The sequence below is a fragment of the Homo sapiens genome, chromosome 1 (genome assembly GCF_000001405.40).
Source record: "Homo sapiens chromosome 1, GRCh38.p14 Primary Assembly".
NCBI classification, from domain to species: domain Eukaryota; kingdom Metazoa; phylum Chordata; class Mammalia; order Primates; family Hominidae; genus Homo; species Homo sapiens.
This window is the reverse complement of record NC_000001.11, coordinates 167,506,731-167,519,353: the sequence shown is the minus strand read 5'-3', so window position 1 is coordinate 167,519,353 and position 12,623 is coordinate 167,506,731. Positions and strand designations below refer to the sequence as shown.

The 12,623-nt window shown below is 44.2% G+C and overlaps 1 protein-coding gene across 6 annotated transcripts in view, besides 3 other annotated features; it reads left to right on the top strand.

Annotated features, from left to right (window-relative positions):
- CD247 (CD247 molecule) overlaps positions 825-12,623 on the top strand; it is an 87,890-nt gene continuing 76,091 nt past the window's right edge. For all 6 annotated transcript variants that reach the window (NM_000734.4, NM_198053.3, XM_011510145.2 and 3 more), the window contains exon 1: positions 825-946. In NM_000734.4, the coding sequence (NP_000725.1) occupies positions 889-946 (58 nt within the window). In that variant the 5' untranslated portion in view covers positions 825-888. The remainder of the gene's footprint in view (positions 947-12,623) is intronic.
- Positions 994-2,193: an enhancer, noted in NCBI's record as "P300/CBP strongly-dependent group 1 enhancer chr1:167486398-167487597 (GRCh37/hg19 assembly coordinates)". NCBI's record gives its function as "activates an origin of replication core promoter dependent on BRD2, BRD4, P300/CBP, MED14 and CDK7 cofactors, with strong dependence on P300/CBP, by STARR-seq in HCT116 cells {active_cell/tissue: HCT116}" and the evidence as "EXISTENCE:reporter gene assay evidence [ECO:0000049][PMID:35650434]".
- Positions 994-2,428: a biological region, named in NCBI's record as "P300/CBP strongly-dependent group 1 enhancer GRCh37_chr1:167486398-167487597".
- Positions 1,465-2,428: an enhancer, noted in NCBI's record as "H3K4me1 hESC enhancer chr1:167486163-167487126 (GRCh37/hg19 assembly coordinates)". NCBI's record gives its function as "activates a minimal SCP1, AML or CMV promoter by ChIP-STARR-seq in naive H9 embryonic stem cells {active_cell/tissue: H9 hESC(naive)}" and the evidence as "EXISTENCE:reporter gene assay evidence [ECO:0000049][PMID:30033119]".

Here is a 12,623-nt window from a genome sequence, read left to right as displayed (position 1 = left end):
TTAATTAAGAGAGAATGGTGGTCTCCTTAAAAGAGAGCTTCCTATCAAAGAAGGGTATGCCTTTCCATTTACCCAAGTCCTTTCGGCGTTCTTCAGCAATGTTTTAAAGTTTGTTTCATATAGATATATTACAATTTTTAGACGAAGTTTATGTCTAGGTTTTAATGTTTTATTATTGTAAATTACTCTGGTGTTTAAATGTTGACAACTAACACAAGTGTTTAAAATACTATGTGAGCTACAGTATTTCACACAATGATCCAAATTCAGGCCAAGTTCAGATCTGCAACCTCAGATCTACTCCAGCTCTTTGCTTTATAGATAAGGAAGCTGAAGTCTAGAGATGTTGAGTGACTGACTCAACGCCACACAGCAAGTAGGTGGTAGGCAGAGATGTCACTAAAGCCCAAGGAATCTGTCTCTACATTTGTCCTGGACTCTAATCCAGGGTTCTGTCATTTTGCCAGCCACCATAAAATATTTGACAGTCTAGGAAAACAGCAAATGTTCTTACATCCATCGAGAACTTGTATTTGCCTAGAGATGGACTTTACCAATCAAGATAGGAATTAGATAAGAATTATTTTTTTTAAAAAAAGGAGCATTAAAACAATGGTCAAATGAGAGAAAAAGCAAAATTCAGACAGACAGATACATACACACACCCCAAACCCTCAAACCTCCAGGGCTTCCTGCCTGTGAACCGAAAGGGGGAGTGCGAATTTCTTGGCCCTGTCGGCAGGTGCTTTCTCAAAGGCCCCACAGTCCTCCACTTCCTGGGGAGGTAGCTGCAGAATAAAACCAGCAGAGACTCCTTTTCTCCTAACCGTCCCGGCCACCGCTGCCTCAGCCTCTGCCTCCCAGCCTCTTTCTGAGGGAAAGGACAAGATGAAGTGGAAGGCGCTTTTCACCGCGGCCATCCTGCAGGCACAGTTGCCGATTACAGGTAGGGCCGACGTGTCGACGGCAGGGAACTTCTAGAAACTCTTTGTGTATGTGTAGGGGAGTGGGTGTGGGTAGTGGAGGGTGGTGAGGGGCTGGGGTCTCCTTCAAATCCTGCCCTCCTCAAATCAATGGGCAAGTGAGCAGTGAGGGGTCCGGCCCGGTGCTGGCATCTGCTCCGTCACAGCCGAGTTGGGCATCAGTTCAGAGCCAGCTGCTAGAATACACAGCTCCTCCAGGTACAGATTTTTCGAGTGATAAGAGAGGAAGGAAGAAGGAAGCAAGAGAGCAACCGAGGCAGGCCCAGGGTAGAGAAACGGAGAGGGAGTGTTTCACAGAAGCTGGACAGGATCGGAAAATGTCAGCCAGGCCATGTTTCGTGCTGCGACGTTCTAGTCCCTTCAGCTTCTTTCACCCTCTGGCTGGCTCCGTCACTCAGCCCCTTTCTTTCTTCCTTTGCCAACAAAGAAGATTTTGTTGGTCAGTCAAGGTCATGGCCTGAAACACTCCAATGGGCCCGGGAGTAAGTGGGGTAACCAAGGAGGAGAGGGGCACAGGCAGGAAGCACCGGGTGGCAGCCTCCACAGCGCCTTCGCCACCTCATGGCCAAGCGTCCGTGTCTAGGCTCAGCCTTGTCATGGCTGTCCCCACACCCACGCCTGGGACTGCCGGGTGACGCACCATCCCAGGCTCCGTGACTCACCCCAGCCTGCCCCTTAGGCGGCCATCTAGCCCAGCCAGAGGGCCCGGCATTGACAGAACACGGGGCAGATGAGACGATGTGCCTGGTTAAGTCACCACCACGAGCAGCGCCCAGCCAACAAGAGTGCTTGCTCCTCACCTCATTCCCGATCGTGGGAGCCCAGCTTTGCTGCAAGCCTTTAGCTTCCACCATGTTTTCTAGCCCAGGTAATGAGGAAGAAAACCAGTGAAAAGAGGACAGGACAAACTGCTCAGGGGGATCAGCCTCGTGGCATCTTCCTGAGAAGTGGGGCAGGCTGAATTTCAATCTAAAGAAACAGGGAAGGTGAAGCAAGCAAATGTCCTCGGCCCACCTGATCGCTCCTGGTAACTCACCTGGGTGTGGGAATTTGTTTAGGGGCCCTGTTGGGAGGGCAGGAGAGGCCATGGGCACTTCTGCTCCCACCAGGGAGCCAGGCACAGCCCGGGCCAGCGCCTCGGGGGATTCTGAGGCCCGTGCAGCTGCAGGGGTTTCTGTCAGGTCACAGCTGTTTTCTCAGAAAAGCCTTGTGGGGTCTAAGTCACACACACAGTGTGGCAGAGTGAGGGTGCCTGAGCTTGCTCAGAGCAGCCCATCCTTGTGTGCTGGGGACAAGGGGACCCAGAACGCTGGAATTTAGTGACTTCAGGGGAGACAGCCAGGGGCAATAGCTCCAGCCTCTGAGCTTCAGGCTTGAGACACCACACCAGGGAGCTCATATAACCTTTCAGGGTCTTTACCTGCAGTTTCCTCACTGGTCCATTTGTGTTCGGCTTGGAGAGACCAAGGTAGGGGCAAAGTGAAGTTAGAAAGAAAAATGAAAGATTGTTGGGTGGCGGTGGCTGCCAAGCGTGGTAAACAGAACCCCACCCAGCAGACAAGATGGGGGCCGTGCCTCATTTCCACAAATAGGGGGCAGGAGGAGAAAACTGCACATTGGCTGGATTTTTTGCTTCTCAGTGCCACTTACTTTGCCTCTATGGAGACTGATATTTTAGCTATTTTAGATAAAGCTAATAGACAAAAGTGTTTCAAAATATCCTAGCCCAGAAACGAGGTACGGTAAGGCAAAGCGCGACTCAGAGAGGCCTTGACACCGAGGGCTGCGATGGTGCTTTTGCTGCCTGAGGGGACACCTCCACAGTCTCCCCGGAGGAAAGGCCGCACATAGAATTTCAGTCAGGTCTTCTCTCTTTTCTTGCTCAGTTAAGTGACCCATTGCATACATCCCTTTTAAAATGTCTACTTTTTACTAAGCTGTTGCATTTGCATTTCTTTGGAAATGCCCAGATTATTAGGATCAAAGCAAATGATGACCTGGTCTGTCCACATGAGGAGGCCTCCCTGAGAGAGAATCTACCAAGACAGTCACCAGGGCTTGAGGCCAGAAGATCCTAAGATGGCGTGCCTAGTGGCATGGGCACACTTGTGCCTGCAGAGCCCTCAGTGCCTCTAACTCCCTACTCTGCAGTAGCCAAGAATGCACCCAGCGGTCAGTGTGGTGTTTGTCTTTTATCAGTGAGGAGATGGAGCTCTGACATGCAGCCTTGGGGAATGCAAAGCTTCCAGGCTTGTGAGTGGCTCTGCTTTTAGGAAGGTGGCTGGACGTGGTAGAAAGAGCCAGGCTAATTTCAGGTGGTGTCCCAGTGCTGCCGCTTCCTAGCTGTGCAACCTTAGGCAAGTTACTTAACCTCTCTGGGCCTCAGTTTTCTCACCTCTAAAGAAAGACTTGTAATACCTTCTTTGCAGAGATGTGACAATGAGAAGTAATGTAATGTGTCCAATACATAGTAGACAGCCAATAAGTAAACATTGTATTTACTATTACTATTATTACATCTCGGACTGTCTTCTTGTTCTCAAAACAGGAGATGGAAACCCATGGCTGGGATTCTTCATTTGCTTTCAATATGTTATAAAGCAGCAGTGGGCATTTTCTCCATCTGTTGCAATCCAACTCATCCCTCTTCTGATTTCTGGGCACACCCATACCAGCACAGAAACATAACAATGATTGCAGAGGTAGGCCCGATAGTGAAAAAGCAGCAAAGCTCTGGCTGGTCATAGGATGACTGTTACATCCACCATTTTCATTTTTTAAAGATACTTACTCTGTAGGGGAATATTCTCCCGAAGTAAAAACATGTCTGAAAAAATATATGCAAGATGGGGGCTGTGCCCCATTTCCACAAATAGGGGGCAGGGGGATTGGCTGGATTTTTTTACTTCTCAGTGCCACTTACTTTGCCTCTGTGGAGACTGACATTTTAGCTATCTTAGATAAGGCTCATAGACAAAAGTTTTTCAAAGTATTACTTTGAAAGGAATCAGAAACAAAATCCACCCAGTCATCACTGGTCCGGGTGGCCACCTAGATTCTGAAGCCAAAGGGCTATTGTGGGTGCACAGCGACTGAGTATCTAAATGCAAACTTCTTGAACACTAAATCTTTGCTAAAATTGCTGGGAGGTGAATGTGAGGCAAGCTTTTAAGTGATACCAGTACAAATTTTTCATCAATGGCATTTTCACCATCAGATTGTTTCGCCCTCCAATCGCCTAGCTCTGCTCATCCAAATGAGCTATTTCATTTTTCAATTTTAGCGTTTCTCAGGCTTACTAGCCTAGAGATCACATCTGCTTCTGCTAAGCATCCCCCAGAAACGGTCCTGGGGAGCTCTGGCTTAGGTGAATAACCACTGCTGTATTTAATTTTAAATTCTTTGTATTTTTGCTTTTGTTCTTTAAAAAAATACATGTAATTATTGTTGGATATATACTTTTCCAGTCAAAAGTTACCCAGCATTGTGTCTTGTGCTTTACTTAGAAGGGTCCAGTTGCCCTGAGGGAACTCTCTTAGATTAGAGTTGTCCAAACACGCACTTTGGGAATCGTTTCTCCCAAGCCTTATTTATCTAAGGCTTAGGACCTTATATAGGTCAGATAATTGATTTAATAAATACCGGAAATAGTTCAAAATAAATTTCTTAGCTCTGCTTCGGCCAAGGCTAATTTTTATTAACACTAAAGTGATGGTGTTCGTCACTTTGAACAAACATTCAATATGGTTAAAAAAAAAAATTAAACCGGTCATTAGACCTGTTAATCAAAACAAAATGATCGCTTTAGTCAGCGCATGTACATAGTATGTCTTCCGGTCTAAAAAACAACTTTAAGTTCCCTGAAAACAAAGACGCCCCTGTCACGCTCACAGCTCTACCCAGCACTTAGCATGGTACCTGGAGCAGAGTCAATGTGCAATAATTATCAATAAGAATTGTTGAATGCACTCTGGGAGGCCGAGACGGGTGGATCACCTGAGGTCAGGAATTTGAGACCAGCCTGGCCAATGTGGTGAAACCCCATCTCCACTAAAAAATGCAAAAAATTAACTGGGCATGGTGGCACGTGCCTGTAGTCCCAACTACTTGGGAGGCTGAGGCAGGAGAATCCCTTGAACCCGGGAGGCGGAGGTTGCAGTGAGCTGAGATCGTACCACTGCACTCCAGCCTGGGCGACAGAGCAAGATTCCATCTCAAAAAAATAAATAAAATAAAATAAAATAAGAATTGTTGAATGAATTAAAAGGTGAGTGAATGAAGGAAATCTAGATGTTTTCATACGATTAAATTAACTTTAATGGTTTATTTGGTGGGTATATTGAATTGGCATTGTTTGGACCTTTCCTCTAGAGAACGTAGTATTAAACAATGTTATTTTAAAAACAAAACAAAAACCAGAAATTAAACCAGTGGAGGGGACAGGGCAGTTTGAGTGATTAGAATTATTTGAAATGAGTTGTAAGGATGGTTTAAGATAAAACCCTGCCATTATTAAAGTTTTCTGGTTGGACCATATGAAATTTCCACTATTTGTTTATTTCAGATCTACAAAAAGGATAATTTCATATGATTCAACTAACATTATAACTAAAAATAAAGAAATATGCTCATTTTTTCTGATTAGGCTTTAACACCGGAGGAAAGCGGAAAATAAGCAAGGCTAACACTGTTGGAGATTGTTAACTAATGAACTAAAAATAAACTAATGAAAGGCATCAGGTAGCAAAAGACTGGATTATAGTATAAACCACAGTATCCAATCACCCAGTTTCCTCAAAATATAGAAAGAAAAAAAAGCAAGATACTTACTATTAGTCTGGTTTGATCCAGGTTACTAAATAAATATTTCAGGTAGCCAACATTTTTCTGTTCTCTTAGTTTGAGATATTTTAGTAAAGATATAAAAATCACTGACGGAAGTTAAAATTTAATTAAATTTTTTTCAAAATTCCTACCAAGCCAGCCCAATAATATTGCATTCTCACTTCTTTATATTCCAATCCAACATTTTTTACAAGTGTAAAAAATTTTACTATCTTTTTATAGTTAACATAAAAACATAAGTCATATCATAATCAAAACATAAAACATATCATTAAAAAGTTTCAAGTGCTTTTTTTCTTAATATTTTATTGTAAGCATTGTTTTCATGTTTAGCCTTTGTGATTGTTTTTAATTGCTATGTAAGCTTCCATAGCATCCATGCATCGTATTTTCTTCACTATTTCCTTATTGTTGTACATTTGGACTATTTCTGATTTTTGTTATTTTAGCTAATCCTACAAGAAAATCTTTACATATGTAGCTTTTGTTACTTTCTTGGGCAAATCCAGGAATGACATTTGAAAGAATAGGTTAAAGTAAAACAGCATTTTGCAGGATGCTCTAGACTTCTGTTGAAAACAATCCCATCAAGGAAAGAAAATGTTTCTCTAACTCTCTGTTACCATCTCCAAGCCTTTGTGTCTCCTCTGGAGCAGGCACTATGGTGGAAGGAGAGGAGGCTCTGGAGCCAGAAGTCCTGAGCCGCCTTCCCCTCCCGACCTCAGAGCCCTGTTCTTCCTCTGTGAGATGGCGGCAATGGTGCCTCTTCACGCAGGGGACTGTGGAGTGGAGATCTGATTCGGAAGTGCCTAAACACAAAAGGCACTTGGAAAGCCAGAACCATTAGCATGTGTGCCTCAGTTTCCCAATCTGCAAAATAGAATATCATTTTCCCAATGCAATAATGGGGGAACACTGGACTGACATGCTTTTTTTCTTCCTCTGTCATTACATTGCAGTGTATACTTGGGCAGAAATTTCTCTCTAGGCTTTAGTTTTAGCATCTGTGAGATAAATTATGAGAGGATTGAACATCCCTTTTAGCTACAAAATGAGTTGTGTGTGGTCTTGAAATTACAAAGTTTTAAAGAACATTTAATGACTCAGCCCCCGATCCTTACCCCACCCCACAGGTATTGGCTCTCAGAATTCAGAGCCTGAACTTCCTTCTTCCTTGCCTCTCCAAATACTTTTTAAATCTGGGCTCTCACCTTACCACAATATTTTTAACATTCTAAGTGGGAGCCTCTGCTGTGAAAAATCCAAGGACAAAGTCCATCCCTTCTGCTTGTGCGTCGGCTGCAGATTTATTGGGGGCCGTGCAAGGACTTCGGTTGGTGAGAACAGACTTGAAGAGAAAGCAAATTACTGCCCGAAGCAGCCAAATTGCAGTGGTGAAAATGTTAGGCGTTTGCACTGTCCACTTTGCTTGCCTGTTTTGATTTGTGCTACTCAGCAACTAATTTTCAGGCTCAAGGAGAAAAAAATAAATAGAAAGCATTAGAACAAAGACAAGCAGGACCCTTGCCAGTCCAGACCGCCGTTCTCTGAGTGCAGCCATCCCTTTACAGTTGCAAAATGAGTTTCCATGCCTTTGTTTACTGGATCCTCATAACCATCCTATGGCAAATAGCAGAAAAAGCAGCAGGATCTATCTCTTCTCGTAAATGAAGAAAGTGAGGCTCGTAGGTCTGGTGACTTGCCTACGAGTAGAACCAGGCCTCAAACATGGTTTCTCGGGGCCCTCGTACAGGGTCTGCACCTTGAACAGTGTGCAGCCGCTCGCCCAGGTCCGTACACCATCATATACCCAAAGACTGGATTCTGAAGCCTACTTCTAAAGGTATTCCCCTTACTAAGCACTTACTCTTTTCCTCTCAATTTTTACAGTAAAAAATAATTATTTTGATGCTGAATATTCTCATTTAATATACATTTTCTGCTGAGTATGAATATTAGGTTATTAATATAGAACTATATGTTTTTCTAGAACGTATTATGATGGTTCTAAATGGAGAACTTACATTTTCTCCAAAGCTGATAAATCCATAGTTTCCATTTTACTCTCAGAAAATGCATCTATTCTGGAACTTCCTTAGAGGGATGCGCCTCAATTTGCAGTTCAACCCACTCCTGTGTGTGCAGGTATGCACACCGCTCACCACCCCACTGTATGCAGAGGTTATAAGTAAAATGTAAATTAAATCATATTTGAGAGGTTTTGCCCTGAATAAATTGCCTGTAATTAATCTGCTTGGTAAGAGTGGATCTCCATATGGTGTGAAAGGTTTTATGTGTATGAGATTCTCTAAAAGAACAGCACACCGTCACGCACAGACTCTGAATTGAGATTTGTTTTTTCACTAACTCCTCCAGGACTGGGAGAGTTATCTTTGAATGACAAATGTCTATAATCTATTCACAATTATTTACGTCATATTTTAGCCTGGGGTTCACCTGCAGGCTCGGTGCAGGTAGTGCAAATCCTTGTGCTGTTGACTGGAGCAAAGCAAAAGATGGTTTTCTGGTGCTCAGAACAAATGCATGAAGCATTAAACAGCTGGAGATGTGAATATCTGAGACTCTTAGTGGGCCACCCCCAAAGCTGGCTGAGAGGAGGGTTGGGAAGAGGGGAAGTATTCAAGTGCTGCAGCAGGATGTCTGTGATGGGCTGTAGGTGCTGTTGCCTTTGCCAAGCCATGGCAGGTGGGGAGGAGGGCTCAGAATGGAAACCAACATCACCATTTAAGATTAACAAACCCCTACCCCCCTCTTTTGCTGTAGATACTAGAGTCTACTGTGTCTTCTTGTATTTTGCTAATTCCCCACCATGCAAAATTGTACTGGCTCCAAGACAGAATGTGAATGACAGCCCTCAGTTAGACCTGCCCTTTCATCATCTGGGCTGGGCATGATGGGAGAGAAGTATGATAGGGGAAAGAGTAGAAAAGACAGGCTGGGGGAGGGGGTAGAGGTTGCAACCTGTTCCCCTGGGTTTACTGGCCTGAGCTGCCTGCTGCAGGGAGAAGGCAGCTGAGCCAGGTGACCCATCACGTGAAAAGCCTGAGCCCAAGCCCCAGGGGTTGCAGGTCAGTGTGGGTGTTGGCAATGTGCACGCCAGCATGTATTTACCCATAGGCTCTGGTGGTTGCAGGTGTCTGTGCCCCCTGTGGGCATATGCTGGCGCATGTGGTGCTGTGTGTTTGTAGGTGTGTCCTGACATGCATGTGCAGGTGTGCATGTGTTGGTGTGTGTGGTGCACTGTATGCTCACCTGTATGCTGATGGATGTGTGCCTGCATCTGCAGGGATGTGTTTTTATGTGCAGCAGTGAGTGATTTTGTATGTATGGTGTGTGTGTTTAGGAGGAGTTTGGTGGCAGCAGGACAGCTCCATAGAAGGAAGGGCAAACATTACTTCAACTCAGGGCTGGCAGTCTGGGTTCTGAGTAGGTGAGCAGAAAGTCAGAGATGTCACAGATCATGTTCCAGGGATTCTGTGGAGAAGGGAGACAAGAAAACCTCTGTCGGATCATGGAGAGGTGTGAGTGGCTTCTTCATAGCTGCATAGACTTTTCAGGTTGGTCTGGCCTGACTCCCGTCAGAGGTCTCTCATCTTCCAAGTAAGCCTGGGGTCTTTCCTTTTTTGTAGCTTCCTTCCTCTCAATTCTCCCGACTTAGAATGCAGACGCCACTCCATCCCCCACCTGCGGAAACCCTGTTCACCCCTTAATTCTAAGCCCAGATGTATGGGGATCTCCCAGACCCACTGTTGACATTGTTACCAGCGTTAAAGTGACACAAGCAGGTGGAAAATTGTTGTTCTCAGAATTCAGGGTCAAAAACCCAACAGAAATAGTTCCCTAGAGTGAGGCGTTCCCAGAGAAGAGACTCGGCACCCAGATAGTTTCAGGAACATTTATCTGTCAGCGGAAAATGTCAACAGCTCCCCAAATTCTCACCAGTTCTTCCCACAGTGTCCATCCTATGTATTTTGGCTAAAATAGGCAAACACGCATTTAATCTTCTTTTTTTTTCACCCTCGGAATAGGTTGGCAAACAATCCAATAAGGTGGTTCCCAATGACCTACTTTGCCCATCAAGATAACCAGATGGATAATGATTTCTTTTCTTTTCTTTTTTTTTTTTTTTTTTTTTGAGACAGAGTTTCGCTTCGCTCTTGTTGACTAGGCTGGAGTGCAATGGCGCGATCTCGGCTCACCACAACCCCCATCCTGGGTTCAAGTGATTCTCCTGCCTCAGCCTCCTGTGTAGCTGGGATTACAGGCATGTGCCAACACACCCGGCTAATTTTGTATTTTTAGTAGAGACAGGGTTTCTCCATGTTGGTCAGGCTGGTCTCAAACTCCCGACCTCAAGTGATCCACCTGCCTCGGCCTCCCAAAGTGCTGGGATTATAGGCATGAGCCACCGCGCCCAGCCATGATTTTTAATATCTGATTATTTAAACCATCTGACAGGCCACTTGACTTACCAATTGAGTAAATATTTACCAAGCACCTCTCATGTGCCCCAAATCAAACCAACAGTCCTGTAGATGGTTGGCTCAACCAGCCCACTGGCCAGGCCAGTGTTTTGAAGATGAAGGTTAAATGATTGAGAGCCCATAAGCACAAGAAAGTGTCCCTGGTCCCGGAAACCATGTTCTCAATTTTTGCAAAAAAGTCTAAATTTGTCTTCAGGCTCACTTCTTTATGGTCTCATCTAATTTTCATCATTGTGTGGGGCCTGTGCTAATTTCCATGCTGAGTTTAGTAGCAAAGGAAGCATATATGGAGGATACCACCCAGGACTTTTGAGTCAGCCAAGAGAGCTTCAGAAATTCCTCCTTTGATTTCCACAGAGTCGAGAGAAATCTTTGTCTTTTCTCCCACTTAACTATCAACACTTCAAAGCCCAGACCTACATAAAATACACAAATGCTTTCTGGACAAAATGAATCTTGTCCGTTTTCTTTGGGTTTCATTGGGAACAATAAAGATTGAGCTACAAAAGGTTGGCAAAGAGGATTATCCTTTTTCTTTCTATTAAACATAGAGGCTTCAAAAGAACAGCTCAGAAAGTCAAATAATTGTATCCACCATCGCTCACCCATCCATCTCCCTGCTGACCTGGCCTGTGAAATCCCCTTTAAAAACTTAGCCAGCTCTCACCTGCCCATTGCAAATGCTGTATTGTTAAATGTTCCCATCTATAATTCCATGAGGGAGGCTGCTATAAAGCAAACTCCTTCCATTTCAACGGAGCATCTCGTCGCGCAATAGCTCTTTGGGGTGGGAGTGGTGGGGTGCCTCTAATTTTCAAAGCTTTGTAATCTCTTGTTGGAAAGGGAGCTACTTGGAAACCAGAAATGGGCTGTGAATAGAGTTATAGCCACAAGCTCTTGCAGTCCAAAGGGGCTGGTGGGGAGGACACGGAGGGTAAGATTTTGGAAGCCATTTTTGATCTTCATGACAATTTCTTGATTTTGTCGGTTTGGAAGACACATCTGTTAGTTTTTAGCTATGGCTGTAAACACAAAGTCTCAGACTTGAAGCTGACCTAATTCCTCGTTTGGTTTCAGACCATAGCTTCCTCAGAAAATTCCTGTCAGCCATTTTGAAGAGCACAAAATGGCTCCTATATGCCAAGAGATAGAGAGAATTTGCTATTTAGGGATTTTTTTTTTTTTAAGATAGGGTCTCCCTTCTTCACTCAGGCTGGAGTGCAGGGGTGTGATCACAGCTCACTGCAGCCTCAAAATCCTGGGCTCAAGCAATCCTACCACTTCAGCCTCCTGAGCCATTGGAACCATAGGGGTGCACCATCATGCCTGACTAATTTTTTCTTTTTTTGTAGATACAGGTTCTCACTACGTTGCCCTGGCTGGCCTTGGAAACTCCTGGGCTCATATAATCCACCAGCCTTGGCCTCCCAAAGTGCTGGGATTACAGGAATAAGCCACCACGCTGCCTATTTAGAGATTTTTAAATTTGGAGTTGAACATTTAATAGCAGCATTCAAGTCTGGAATAATTTCAGTTAAGAAAGAAAAGAATAGAAATCTAACCTTCTAATTGGCCAACCATCTAAAATTCTATGTGGAATGATCAACAAAGGAAGACAGTATTGAGTTGCTGGGTCCTCTCTACGGGGTCAGAAAAGAGGCCTGGTTCACCTGGCTCTCCATGTTTTCCCTGTAGAGTCCTTCAAACCCATGGTCTTTCTCTACCAACTTTGACCCTGGGTCATCATCTCTCTCTCCAATCACCATTCCTTCTCTTTGAAGGTTAAAAAAAAAAAAAATTCAGGCCAGGCGTGGTGGCTTACACCTGTAATCTCAGAACTTTGGGAGGCCAAGGCAGGTGGATCACCCAGGGTCCGGAGTTTGAGATCAACCTGGCCAACATGGCAAAACCACATCTCTACTAAAAATACAAAAACAAAAACAAACAAACAACAAAATTAGCTGGGCATGGTGGTGTGCTCCTGTAGTCCCAGCTACTCAGGAGGCTGAGGCAGGAGAATCACTTGAACCTGGGATGCAGGGGTTGCCGTGAGCCAAGATCACACCATTGCACTCCAGCCTGGGCGACAGAGCAAGACTCCATCTCAAAAAAAAAAAAAAAAAAAAAATCAGAGGGAACATACAATAAGCCATATTTAATGGAGTTCTGAATTATGTAAATTTGAAAAAAATGCAATCTAAAAATTCATAAGGTCTCACTATTTGTAGTATTCAAGATAATGTAAGATTTTACATTTATTCCTATGATAAATTAATCAGAATTTTGCAAA